This window comes from Homo sapiens, chromosome 12 (assembly GCF_000001405.40).
Source record: "Homo sapiens chromosome 12, GRCh38.p14 Primary Assembly".
Lineage (NCBI taxonomy): Eukaryota > Metazoa > Chordata > Mammalia > Primates > Hominidae > Homo > Homo sapiens.
The window spans coordinates 124,879,569-124,893,642 of record NC_000012.12 but is presented as its reverse complement, the minus strand read 5'-3'; the positions used below and the strand labels follow the sequence as shown (position 1 = coordinate 124,893,642).

The following is a 14,074-nucleotide window of genomic DNA, read 5'->3' as shown; positions in this document are numbered from 1 at the left end:
TTTTTTTTTTGAGACAGGGCCTTGCTTTGTCGTCTAGGCTGGGGTGCAGTGGTGTGCTCACGGCTCATTGCAGCTTCAGTCTCCCGGGCTCAAGCAATCTTCCTGCCTCAGCCTGTAGCTGGGACTATAGCATTCACCACCACATCTGGCTAATTTTTTCATTTTTTGGAAAGATGGATTCTTGCTATGTTGCCCAGTCTGGTCTTGAACTCATATCAAGTGCTATGTCTACCTTGGCCTCCCAAAGAGCTGGGATTGTAGGCATGAGCCATCACAATAAACTTTTTGCCCATTTTAAAAACTGGGTTATTTGTTGATGAGTTTTACCATATTCATCCTTTGTTAGATACATGATTTGCAAATAATTTCTCCCATTGTGTGGAAGGAACTCTGTTGATTGTGTCCTTTGATGCATAGTAGGCTCTGCCTTTTTATGGAGAAATCTTAAAAGAATTCACAACTGTTTTTTTTTTTTTTGAAACGGAGTCTTGCTCTGTTGCCCAGGCTGGAGGGCAGTGGTGTGATCTTGGTTCACTGCAGCCTCCACCTCCGAGGTTCAAGCAATTCTCCTGCCTCAGCCTCCCAAGTAGCTGAGACTACAGGTGTGTGCCACCACCCCCGGCTGATTTTTTGTAGTTTTGGTAGAGACAGGGTTTCGCCATGTTGGCCAGGCTGGTCTAGAACTCCTGACCTCAGTGATCCACCCACCTCTGTTTCCCAAAGTGCTGGGATTACAGAATTCATAAATGCTTTAAAACCATCCCTGACCAGGCGTGGTGGCTAATGCCTGTAATCCCAATACTTGGGGAGGCTGAAGCAGGAGGATCACTTGAGTCCAGGAGTTTGAATCTAGCCTGGGCAACATGGCAAGACCCTGTCTCTATAAAAAATTTTTAAAAAATAAGCCGGGTGTGGTAGCAAACACCTGTGGTCCCAGCTACCTGGGAGGCTGAGGTGGGAGGATCTCTTGAACCCGGGAGGCAGAAGTTGCATTGACACCCAAGATCACACCACTGCACTCCAGCCTGTGCGACAGAGCCAGACCCTATCTCAAGAGAGGGAGAGAGGGCCGGGCACGGTGGCTTACGCCTGTAATCTCAGCATTTTGGGAGGCTAAGGCGGGTGGATCACGAGGTCAGGAGTTGGAGACCAGCCTGGCCAACATAGTGAAACCCCCGTCCCTACTAAAAATACAAAAAATTGGCTGGGCGTGGTGGCATACGCCTGTAGTCTCAGCTACTCAGGAGGCTGAGGCAGGAGAATTGCTTGAACCTGGGAGGCAGAGGTTGCAGTGAGCTGAGATCGTGCCACTGCACTCCAGCCCAGGCGACAGAGCAAGACTCCATTTCAAAAAATAAAAATAAAATAAAAATAAAAATAAAAAAAGAGGGAGAGAGCGGATCACGAGGTCAGGAGATTGAGAACATCCTGGCTAACACGGTGAAACTCTGTCTGTACTAAAAATACAAAAAATTAGCCAGGCGTGGTGGCGGGCGCCTGTAGTTCCAGCTACTTGGGAGGCTGAGGCAGGAGAATTGCTTGAACCCGAGAGGCGGAGCTTGCAGTGAGCCGAGATCGCGCCACTGCACTCCAGCCTGGGTGACAGAGCAAGACTCCGTCTCAAAAAAAAAAAAAAAAAAAAGGGAGAGAGAGAGAGACAGAGAGACAGAGAGAGAAAAGAAAGCCATCACTGTATATAAAAGGGGTTTTGGCAAAAAGTAAGTCTTGCCCTGCCTTGACTGCCCTCCCCAGAGGCAACCTCTATTATCAGTTTCTTGTATAGCTTTCCAGAGATTTTCTTTGAGTTTTCTAATGTAACATTTCCATAGACAATTGTGCAGTTTGTTTTTATGCAAAATGAACCTTGGCTATGAGTGGTCTCTCGGAGCCTCAGTATCCCCATTGGTTAGACAAGGGAGTTGGAGTGGATAATTCCTAAAGACTGCTGGGAGGATCACAGCCCGCATGCCAGGAAAGAGCCCAGCCACGCTTCTTGGCCCTCCTTTCATGAAGGTTTATGAAGGCTCTGTCTTGAAATTTTTTTTTTTTTTTTGAGATGGAGTTTCGCTCTTTGTTGCCCAGGCTGGAGTGCGATGGCGTGATCTTGGCTCACTGCAACCTCTGCCTACCGGCTTCAAGTGATTCTCCTGCCTCAGCCTCCCAGGTAGCTGGGATTACAGGCATGCACCACCACGCCTGGCTAATTTTGTATTTTTAGTGGAGGTGGGGTTTCTCCATATTGGTCAGGCTGGTCTTGAACTCCTGACCTCAGGTGATCCGCCCGCCTCAGCCTCCCAAAGTGCTGGGATTACAGGTGTGAGCCACTGCGGCCAGCTTTGTCTTGATTTGAGAGGTTATTTCTTTTTGTTGTTGTTATTCTTTTGATAGAGGGTCTTGCTCTGTCGCCCAGGCTGGATTGCAGTGGTGTGATCATAGCTCGCTGCAACCTCTACCTCCTGGGCTCAAGTGATCCTCCCACCTCAGCCTCCTGAGTAGCTGGGACTACAGGCATGCATCACCACACCCGGCTTATTTTTGTATTTTGTATTTTTTGTAGAGAAGGGGTCTCACTGTGTTGCCCAGGCTGGTCTCAAACTCCTGGGCTCAAGTGATCCTCCCGCCTCGACCTCCCAAAATGCTGGGATTACAGGCATGCACCACCATAACCTGGCCCCAAAGAGGTTATTTTTTAAAGGAGAAAGCCATTTTCTCTGAACAGCATCAACGTCTGTTCTGTGGGAATACAAGAGTTCTTGTTTTGTTCCACTTAATAAGAATGCAGTTCCTCTTGTCAGCTCGATGCTGGGAAAAACTCTAATTTCAGTTCTTTATTTTTCAGAAATTCCAAAGAACATGGAAAGGAGACCACAGGAAGAATCCAGAACTGCTGCCCATCATAAAATTTTTCCATCTGCAATTTGTGTCTACAGTGTGCCAGTTATTGATGAGGGTGAGGCTGAAGGTGGGACAGTGTGGGGGAGATTTTTTAATTGCTCCCCAATTACCATATTCCTCTTTTCTTTTCTTTTTTCTTTTTGAGACAGAGTCTCGCTCTGTAGACCAGGCTAGAGTGCAGCGGCGCAATCTCGGCTCACTGCAACCTCCGCCTCCCGGGTTCAAGCAATTCTCTGCCTCAGCCTCCCGAGTAGCTGGGATTACAGGCGCCTGCCACCATGCCCAGCTAATTTTTGTATTTTTAGTAGAGACGGGGTTTCACCATCTTGGCCAGGCTCGTCTCGAACTCCTGACCTTGTGATCCACCCGCCTCGGCCTCCCAAAGTGCTGGGATTACAGGCGTCATGCCCGGCCCACATTCCTCTTTTCTTTTTAGTTTTAGAGTCCCTAAAATTCCAGATGGGCATATGTCACCCAGCCAGAGGTGATGTTTTCCAGCTTCCACTGAAGCTAGGTGTGACCTCGAGACTATGTTCTCGCCTATAAGATACAGGTGGATGATGTGACGGGAACACTTCCAGGCCAGATGGTTAGAAGGGAAGCTGGTTGTCCACCTCTATTTCCCACTCCCTTTGAGCTGGAACGTGGACAGGGTTCGAGAAGCCAGCTCTGTCCCTGGGGATGGTGGAGCAGCAGGAGGTGGGGTCCCTGGGTCCCTGGGTGACCACGTGGAGCCGAATCTCCTGCCTTCTTGGACTAGCAGCCATCTCTGCGATGTTAAGGGAGAGAGGAATACGTTTCTAATTTGTTAGAGTCACTGTATTTTGAGGTCTCTTAGCAGCTTAACGTATACCCTAACACAGGTGGCTTTCACCTTTTTATACAACTTTGTTTTTTTTTTTTTTGAGACAGAGTCTTGCTCTGTCACCCAGGCTGGAGTGTAGTGGTGTGATCTCGGCTCACTGCAACCTCCACCTCCCAGGTTCAAGTGATTCTCCTGTCTCAGCCTCCCAAGTAGCTGGGACTACAGGTGCCCGCCACCATGCCCAGCTAATTTTTGTATTTAGTAGAGACAGGGTTTCGCCATGTTGGCCAGGCTGGTCTCGAACTCTTGACCTCAGGTGATTTGCCCGCCTTGGCCTCTTGAAGTGCTGGGATTACAGGCATGAGCCACCATGCCCGGCCGATTTTTACTTTTTTAAACAGTGGTTTGCACTGAAATAGAAGTTCTTTGAGAATAGGAACTGTGCCTTTTTGTCTCCCATGATATCCCAGCCCCTGCCAGACAGTAGTAGGCAGTGAGAATGGTTCTTGGACATTAGCTTGCCTTAGGATTGGCTGGGGCATGGATTAGTTGAAAATGCAGCTTTCTCAGGGGCTCATCCCAAATCTGTGGAATCAATCTTTGGACCCGACTTTATAAATCTAACTTTATTTATTTATTTATTTGAGATGGAATCTCGCTGTGTCGCCAGGCTGGAGTGCAGTGGTGCTTGGAGTGGAGTGCGACGTCGACTCACTACAACCTTGATCTCTTGACCTCGTGATCCACTCGCCTCGGCCTCCCAAAGTGCTGGGATTACAGGCGTGAGCCACCGCGCCTGGCCCTTTTTATACAACTTTGATTTTTACTTTTTTTTTTTTTTTTTGAGACTGAGTCTTGCTCTGTTGCCCAGGCTGCAGTGCAGAGGCACAATCTCGGCTCACCGCAACCTCTGCCTCCCGAGTTCAAGTGATTCTCCTGTCTCAGCTTCCAAGTAGCTGGGATTACAGGTGTGCACCACCACACCCGGCTAATTTTTGTATTTTTAGTAGAGACGGGGTTTCGCCACGTTGGCCAGGATGGTCTCGATCTCTTGACCTCATGATCTGCTCACCTCGGCCTCCCAAAATGCTAGGATTACAGGCGTGAGCCAGCACGCCCAGCCACTTTACTTCTAATGAAAGAAAAGGTCTTGTTTACAATAGCAACTGTACTGATGAAATATTTAACAGCAAACTTCCCAAGAAATGTGGAGGATACAAACATAAAAAGCTTTAAAAAAATTCTACTATTGTTGTAATATAAAAAGAGACTTGCATTCATGGGAAGACAATCTTTGTTCTTTGAGAGGAAGAATCAGCTTTGGAAAGATGCCAAGAGCTTGCTAAATTTAACTAGAAATCCATACAATCCCAGTTAAAATACTAACACAAAATTTTGGGAGATTTGAGAAAATGGTGCCAAAGTTCATCAAAGGATGTGAATGAAGGAAAATTGCCAGGAAAATTCTAGAAATAAAAAATAACGAGGGGGCCAGGCACTGTGGCTCCTGCCAGTAATCCCAGCACTTTGGCAGGCTGAGGTGGGAGGATTGCTTCAGGCCAGGAATTCAAGGCCAGCCTGGTAAACACAGCAAAATCCCATCTCAACAAAAATTTTTTAAAACTCAGAGCAGGCATGATAGCTCACACCTGTAATCTCAGCGCTTTGGGAGGCCAAGGTAGGTAGATCACTTGAGGCCAGGAGTTTGAGACCAGCCTGGCCAACATGGTGAAACCCTGTCTCTAAGAATACAAAGAAATATTAGCCGGTGTGGTAGCAGGCACCTGTAATCCCAGCTACTTGGGAGATTGAGGCACGAGGATTGCTTGAACCCAGGAGGCGGAGGTTGCAGTGAACAGAGATCGCTCCACTGCACTCTAGCCTGGGTGACAGAGCGAGACTCTGTCTTAAAAAAAAAAAAATCAGCCAGGCATGGTGGCATGCACCTGTAGTCCCGTCCTAGCTACTCCGAAGGCTGAAGTGAGAGGATCGCTTGAGCCCAGGATGTAGAGGCTGCAGTGAGCTATGATCGCACCATTGCACTCCAGCCTGGGTGGCAGAGCGAGGCCCCATCTCTAAAAAAAATTATATATATATATATACACACACACACACACATACTATATATATATATATTTCAATTTTTTACTTGGTTTTATTTATTTATTTATTTTGAGACAGAGTCTCGCTCTGTTGCCCAGGCTGGAGTGCAGTGGCATGATCTCAGCTCACTGTAATCTCTGCCTCCTGGGTTCAAGCTATTCCCGAGTACATGTGTCACTAAACCCAGCTAATTTTTGTATTTTTAGTAGAGACAGGGTTTTGCTATGTTGGCCAGGCTGATGTTGAACTCCTGGCCTCAAGTGATCTGCCTGCCTTGGCCTCCCAAAGTGTTGGGATTACAGGCGTGAGCTACTGCGCATGGCCTATTTTATTACTAGTTATTGTTGTTAATCTCTGACTGTGCCTGAATTATAAATTAAATTTTATCATGGGGAAAAACAGTCTATACCGGGTTCAGTGCTATCTCAGGTCTCAGGCATCCGCTAGGGATCCTGGAGCTTATCCCCCGAAGATAAGGAAGGGCCCCCGCTGCTCCGCTGGAATTCAAAATAACCCTCCCACTGCGCAGTGAGGTGGGTAAAAGCCAGTCTGACGGTCTGACAGTGCTTTGATGATCTTGTACTCTCTACTCTTTGCTTTTGCAGAACATTAATTACCAAATGTTTTCCAAACTTTGCAAGAGGAGTACAGGTGTCGGGGGTGAGGGAGGGCCTTGTTTTCATCTAATAGACCTTTCTGTTCTTTCTGTTTCACTTGGATTTTGTGAAGCTCAGACTCCAGCATCTGACAACTCAGGTTCAAATTCGGGCCTGGTTACTCCCCCGCTGTGTCCCTGTGTGACCTTGAACAAGTTACTTTATTTCTCTATGCCTCAGTTTCCTCATCTGAAAAGTAGACATAATATTGGTTTTGACTCCAGAGGTGAATGTGGGATTCAATGAGCTAAAATGTAAAACAGTTAGAACACTGCCGTGCATGAAGTTCAGTCTTAATGAATATCAGCTATTATTATGATCAATATCTGCCATGGGGCCGGGTGCAGTGGCACATACCTATAATCCCTGCACTTTGGGAGGCTGAGGTGGGAGGATGACTTGAGCCCAGGAGTTGGAGACCAGCCTGGGCAACATAGGGAGACCCTGTCTCTACAAGTAATAATAAAAAAATAGGCCAGGCACGGTGGCTCACGCCTATAATCCCAGCGCTTTGGGAGGCCGAGGCGGGTGGATCACCTGAGGTGGGGAGTTTGAGACCAGCCTGGCCAACATGGTGAAACCCCATCTCTACTAAAAATACCAAAAATTAGCTGGGTGTAGTGGTGTGTACCTGTAATCCCAGCTACTCAGGAGGCCGAGACAGCAGAATCACTTGAACCCAGGAGGCAGAGGTTGCAGTGAGCTGAGATCGCGCCATTGCACTCCAGCCTGGGCGACAGAGCAAGACTCCATCTCAAAAAAAAAAAAAAAAAAAAAAATGCTGGGCACGATGTGCATCCCTGTGGTCCCAGCTACTCGGGAGGCTGAGGCGGGAGGATTGCTGGAGCCCAGGAGGTCAAGGCTGCAGTCAGCTGCGATTGTGCCACCGCACTCCAGCCTGGGTGACAGAGCCAGACCCTGTCTCAAAAGAAAAATAAAATCTGTCATGGGTTGAATTGTGTTCCCCAAAAAGATATGCTGAAGCCCCATCCTCTGACGCCTCAGAATGTGACTTCATTTGGAAGTAGGGTCATTGCAGATGAGTTAAGGTGACATCCTGCTGGAGTAGGTTGGGCCCCTAATCCAACAGTACTGGTGTCCTTGTAAGAGCAGAGCCATCTTGTCAACACAGATGTACAGGGAAAGATGGTGTCATGATGGCCCCATGACTGCAGAGGCATCTGTAAGCCAAGGAGCTCCAAGGATTGCCAGCCAGCCCCTTGGAAGCTGGAAGAGGTGAGGAAGGAGCCTCGGAGCCTTCAGAGGGAGTGTGGCCCTGCAGACATCCCCATCTCAGACTTCCAGCCTCCAGAACTTCCAGAGAGTAAACTTTCTGTTTATTCATATATTTGTATTTTTTTGAGATAGGGTCTCACTCTGTCACCCAGGCTGGAATGCACTGGCACAATCTCGGCTCACTGCAGCCTCAACTTCCCTGGGTTCAGATAATCCTCCCACCTCAGCCTCCCAAGTAGCTGGGAGTACAGCCAGGCACCACCACACCCAGGTAATTTTTGTATTTTTTTGTAGAGACAAGGTTTCGCCATGTTGCCCAGGCTGCTCTCGAACTCCTGGACTCAAGTGATCCTTCTGCCTCGGCCTCCCCAAGACCTGGGATTGCAGGTATGAGCCACTGCGCCCAGCTTTCTGTTGCTTTAAGCGGCCCGGTTTGTGGTGCTTTGCATGGCAACCCTAGCAAACTAACACTATGTCTATTCACAATTATTTGATAAAACAAAAACAATTCTTGAAAGCATCTCTTTCTCCCTTCCTTCCTGTGCCTGGGGGTGGGTGGGGAGTCTGTGTTGAGCACCTCAGCTGAGACCAGGCAATTGCAGTGGCCTGCGAAGGTGTTTGGACTTTGTCCTGCAGACCGTGAGAGGCCCCTGGAGATTCTACACTGGGGAATGACAATTTCCTAGGTGTTTTAGGAAGCTCAGCCTGCCTGCCGGTGGAGGGGGAAGGGAGGAGGGGAGAGGGTTCCGGCCAGTTAGGGGATTGGAGCTGTCATCCAGGCAGGAGATGGTGTGATCTGGATCAGCAGTTCTCAAAGTGTGGTCCCCAGACCAGCAGCACCAGCGTGTTCAGGAAACTTGCTGAAAATGCAGTTATCAGGCCCACCCAGACCTACTGAATCAGGCACTCCAGGGGCGGGGCCAGCCATCTGGGTTTCACTAAACCTCCAGGTGGTTCTGCTGTTTGCTCAAGCGCAAGAATGCTCGCTGGGCTAAAGGAAGAGGGTGGAGAGGGTACGTAAGTCCCTTGGGCCTGCGGGACAACGTGCCACCAACTGGGTGGCTCAGAACAACAGAAATGCATTTCTTACCTTTCTGGAGGGCAGAAATCAGAAACGAAGGCATCAGCAGAGCCCTCTGAAGCCTGGGGTGGGGAGAAGCCTTCTTTGCCTCCTTCGACCTCTGGTGGCTGCCAGCAGCCCTCGGCATTTCTTGGCTTGCAGATACAGCACTGCAATCTCTGCCTCAATGGCACATGACATTTTGTATGTGCCTCTGTGACAAGATGTCCTTCTTCTCCTTCTTTTTTGTTTTTTTTTTTTTTTGAGGTGCAGTTTCGCTCTTGTTGCCCAGGCTGGAGTGCAGTGGCACGATCTTGGCTCACTGCAACCTCCGCCTCCCGGGTTCTAATGGATTCTCCTGCCTCAGCCTCCTGAGCAGCTGGGATTACAGGTGCCCACCACCACGCCCAGCTAATTTGTTGTATTTTTAGTAGAGGCGGGGTTTCACCACGTTGGGCAGGCTGGTCTCGAACTCCTGATCTCAGGTGATCCGCCCACCTCGGCCTCTCAAAGTGCTGGGATTATAGGCGTGAGCTACCGCGCCCGGCCGGATGTCCCTCTTCTCATAAGGACCCCTGTCCTATTGGATTAGGGCCCGCCAGAATCCCTCAGGCCCTCCTCTTGATTTAATTGCATTTGCATCTGCAAAGACCCTATTTCCAAATAGGGCTGCAATCACAGGGACCAGGGGCCTAGGACTTGGACATATCATTTTTTGGAGGGACACAATTCTACCCACCTCAGATGGGGAGAATGAAAGGAAGCAACAAACAGCAAAACAAGAGAAATGTTAGTGATTAGATGTGGGAGTGGAAGTAGGATGAAAACAGAAAGAACTCAAATGCCCTGCCGTTGTTACATGAATAACAAAGCTGGGGTAACCGCGGTGTCCTTTTTCCCTTTTTCTCAAAGAGGGACATCCTCAGGCTAGTATTTCAGAAACTTTATCCTAAGTTCTTGGGACTCATAAACACATTGCTGAAACAAACTCCGTCTCACCTGACGACCTCTCTCTCTCCCCCATGGGGCAGGGCTGGGGAAGAAGGAGCGAGCAAGGCCCCTGTCCACCTCACGGAGCCAGGGCCCAATTGCGTTGACTCTTGCTGAGGGCGACACTTTAGAGCCAAGTTCGAGTTGAAGTTCAAGGGCCCAGGATCTGGAGGCATCTGAAGCTGCTCCAGCTCTCAGCTGCCTCAAGGGAAAAGATAGTCTCAGAGATAGTCTAGCACCTGTCTTGGTGAGGAGCCAGGCAGCACATAAGTGTGGGAGCTCCTGCCTCTGACACCAGACATGGCTGAAAGCATTTGTCCTTCTGGAAGATTCCACTTCACCCATCACTCCAGAGTGAGTCAGAAGCCCCTGGAGGGTTTGTGAAAATGCAGATTCCTGGGCCTTACTCCCCAGTGTCTGAGTCACAGGTCTGGGGTGAGAACTCAGAATCTGCTTTCCTTCTTTCCTTCCTTCCTTGCTTCCTTCCTTCCTTTTCTTTCCCTCTTTCTTTCTTTCTTTTTTCTTTCTTTCTTTCTCTTTCTTTCTTTTCTTTCTTTCCTTCCTTTCTCTTTCTTTCTTCTTTCCTTCCTTCCTTTCTCTTTCTTTCTTTCTTTCCTTCCTTCCTTCCTTCCTTTCCTTCCTTCCTCCTTCCTCCCTCCCTCCCTTCCTTTCACTCAGAATCAATTTTCCTTTCTTTGACTCAGAATCTGCCTTCCTTCCTTCCTCTTTCTTTCTTAGACAGGCTCTTGCTTTGTTGCTCAGGCTGGAGTGCAGTGGTGTGAACATGGCTCACTGCAGCCTCGACCTCCCAGGCTCAAGAGATCCTTCCACCGGCCCGATGTCCCTCTTCTTATAAGGACCCCTGTCCTATTGGATTAGGCCCCGCCCGAATCCCGCAGGCCCTCCTGTTGATTTAATTGCATCTGCAAAGACCCTATTTCCAAATAAGGCTGCAATCACAGGGACCAGGGGCCTAGGACTTGGACATATCATTTTTTGGAGGGACACAATTCTACCCAGTTACCTGAGTAGCTGGGGCTAGAAGCACTTGCCACCGTGCCTGGCTAATTAAAAAAAAATTTTTTTGCAGAGATGGGATCTCACTATGTTGTCCAGGCTGGCCTCGAACTCCTGGGCTCAAGTTATCTTCCAGCCTTGGCCTCCCAAAGTGCTGGGATTACAGGTGTGAGCCACCACACCCAGCCTGAGAACCTGCATTTCTATCACATTTCCAGGTGGCCTGGTGCTGCTGCTGCTCTGGAGAACACCTGGAGGAGAACAAAGGCCCATGATGAACGGTTCTCAGCCTAGTGTGCATATGAGAATCACACAGGGAGTTTCAACACACACCAACCCCTGTGCCCGACCCAGACCCTGGGAAACCGCTGAGGGCGGGGTACAAGCGCTGGCCCCCAGGGAGTTCTAATCACTGGCCAAAGTCGGGGTGCACAGCCCAACTCCTTCTCACCCGTCAATGCCACTTCAGATACCACTTCTTCAGCAAGCCTTTCCTGACTTCCTCCAATGGGGTTAGGTCCCTCATTCATGCATTCATTCATTCATTCCACAAACCATCATGCCCCTTGTATGCACCGGGCCCTGTGCTGGTGCTGGGGATTCAGCACCCTCGTGGTGTTTCTCTACAGAAACATGGAGGAAACAAGTGGTGAAAAATCAGGACAGATGATGCCAGGGTGTGATGAATATAGAACAGGACGACGACATAAAGAGCATTCGTTAATTAGAGACAGGGTATCACTCTGTTGGCCAGACTGGAGTGCAGTGGTACAATCGTGGTTCACTGCAGCCTTGAACTCCCAGGCTGAAGCAATCCTCCCGCCTCAGCCTCCGGAGCAGCTGGAACTACAGACACACCTATCACGCCCAGTTAATCTTTTCTTTCTTTTTTTTTTTTTTGAGACAGAGTCCCACTCTGTCGCCCAGGCTGGAGTGCAGTGGTGCAACCTCGGCTCACTGCAACCTCTGCCTCCCGTGTTCAGGTGATTCTCTTGCCTCAGCCTCCCGAGTAGCTGGGATTACAGGTGCACACCGCACCTGGCTAATTTCTGTATTTTTAGGAGAGATGGGGTTTCACCATATTGGCCAGGAGGGTCTCGAACTCCTGAACTTAAGTGATCGGCCCACCTCAGCCTCCTAAAGTGCTGGGATTACAGGTGTGAGCCACTGTGCCAGAGAAGAGGGTTACTTTAGATGGGCTGGTTGAGGAAGGCCTCTTTGAGGAGGTGATGTTGGAGCTGCCCCTCAAAAAAGCCTCCGTGGAGCCCTTTTAAACAAGAGGAGCATTTGAAGCGGGGCTCAGAGCCTGTGCTGAGGTCCTGCGGTGGGCACAGGCTGACCCCATAAGAAGAACCTGAAGGAAGCCAGGGTGGCTGCATCCCAGAGAGCGGAGAGGGAGGCAGAGGAGGGCAGCCCGGGGAGGACCTGGAGTTTATGCAACAGGAAACCAACAGAGTTCAAGCAGGAAGTAACACAATCCCACTCGCTTTGAAAAAGGTCCACTCTGTGCCCCTGGAATGCGCCCTCACCGAGGTGGATTCCTCTCCCTGAAAGCGTTTTTCTCAGGTGTCACGGCAGACTCATTGGTGTGAGAAGAATCTCTTTGTCCCACTGGTGTGTGATCTTTATGAGAAGGTGATTAACGTGCCCCCTTGCCCATAGGAAGTGCTCAGTCGGCACAGTCTGACAGAGCTGGGTGTGGTGGCGGGTGCCTGTTGTCTCAGCTACTAGGGAGGATCACCTGAGCCCAGGAGTTTGAGGCTGCAGTGAGCTGTGATCACCCCACTGCGCTCCAGCCTGGGTGACAGAGCAAAACCTTGCTCTGAAAAGAAGTTTGACAAATGACCCTGTGAGTGTGTATCCAGTGGTCCTCCTTGGCACTGCCCATCCCTGCCCAAACAGGAGCCTCAGCTACCACCAGATGTGTCCAGAAAGATATTTCTGCCCATTGTTTTCCAAAGGATATTTTTGTTTTTGTTTTTGTTTTGTCTTTTTTTTTTTTTTTTTTTTTTTTTGAGGCTGAGTCTTGCTCTGTCTCCCAGGCTGGAGTGCAGTGGTGTGATCTCGGCTCACTGGGTTCAAGTGATTCTCCTGCCTCAGCCTCCGAAGTAGCTGGGATTACAGGTGCCCACCACCATGCCTGGCTAATTTTTGTATTTTAATTAGAGATGGGTTTCACCATGTTGTCCAGGCTGGTCTCGAACTCCTGACCTCAAGTGATCCACCTGCCTCGGCCTCCCAAAGTGCTAGGATTACAGGCATGAACCACCACGCCTGGCCCCCTCCACCTTTTTTTTTTTTTTGAGACAGAGTTTCACGCTGCTACCCAGGCTGGGCGGCAGTGGCGTGATCATGACTCATTGCAGCCTTAACCTCCGGGGCTCAAGCGATCCTCCTGAGTCAGCCTCTGGAGTAGCTGGGACTACAGATGCGTTTGCCACCACACCTAGCTAATTTTTGTATTTTGTAGAGATGGGGTTTCGCCAAGTGGCCCAAGCTGGTCTTGAACTCCTGAGCTCAAGCAATCCTCCTGCCTCGGCCTCCCAGTGTTGGGATTACAGGCGTGAGCTACTGCGCCCAGCCCAAAGAATATTTTTGGAACCAGCTTCTCTGTGGGCTCCAGCCATCCCTGGCAGACGCCTCGGCCTGCAGCCTAAGAACAGTTCCCCCTCAGGAAAGAAACTGACAGCTTTGTGGTTCTGCGTTGAAGGGTAAGGGCATCTCCTAAGCTCCAGTGTTCTTGGTACCCACGCTGGTTTCAGGGAGGCACCTCCTGCCTCGCTCCATGGCAGCTGGCCTCTCTGATGCTGTGGACGGTATCCCTGGGCCTCAGTGGGCCCTGGGCAGAGCGGGTGGGTGTTGGAGACAAGGGGCCAGTGGCAAGAGCTGCAGTTTTCTGGGCAGGAAGGAAAATGTTGGTCCAGTAGGAAAACAGGCAAAACAGATGGGGACTAGCTGGACATGGAGCTGTTTGGTTATGCTGAAGCATGAAACTTCGGCTTTCATTTTAAAAGCCTGTGTTTGGCAGGGCATGGTGGCTCATGCTTGTAATCCCAGCATTTTGGGTGGCCGAGGTAGGCGGATCACGAGGTCAGGTGTTTGAGACCAGCCTGGCCAACATGGTGAAACCCCGTCTCTACTAATAATACAAAAGTTAGCCAGATATGGTGGCGGGCGCCTGTAATCCAAGCTACTTGGGAGACTGAGGCAGGAGAATCGCTTGAACCCGGGGGGTGGAGGTTGCAGTGAGCAAGATTGCGCCATTGCGCTCCAGCCTGGTGACAGAGTGAGACTCCGTCTCAAAAAAAAAAA

General features: G+C 49.8%; 4 annotated features.

Moving 5' to 3' along the window:
- Positions 5,522–5,631: an enhancer, noted in NCBI's record as "active region_7308". NCBI's record gives its function as "activates an Ori minimal core promoter by ATAC-STARR-seq in GM12878 lymphoblastoid cells {active_cell/tissue: GM12878}" and the evidence as "EXISTENCE:reporter gene assay evidence [ECO:0000049][PMID:35858748]".
- Positions 6,074–6,523: a transcriptional cis regulatory region, noted in NCBI's record as "candidate enhancer chr12.4732 targeted for multiplex CRISPR interference". NCBI's record gives its function as "positively regulates SCARB1 gene expression in K562 cells {active_cell/tissue: K562}" and the evidence as "EXISTENCE:mutant phenotype evidence [ECO:0000015][PMID:30612741]".
- Positions 8,377–9,064: an enhancer, noted in NCBI's record as "H3K27ac-H3K4me1 hESC enhancer chr12:125369125-125369812 (GRCh37/hg19 assembly coordinates)". NCBI's record gives its function as "activates a minimal SCP1, AML or CMV promoter by ChIP-STARR-seq in primed H9 embryonic stem cells {active_cell/tissue: H9 hESC(primed)}" and the evidence as "EXISTENCE:reporter gene assay evidence [ECO:0000049][PMID:30033119]".
- Positions 8,926–8,975: an enhancer, noted in NCBI's record as "active region_7307". NCBI's record gives its function as "activates an Ori minimal core promoter by ATAC-STARR-seq in GM12878 lymphoblastoid cells {active_cell/tissue: GM12878}" and the evidence as "EXISTENCE:reporter gene assay evidence [ECO:0000049][PMID:35858748]".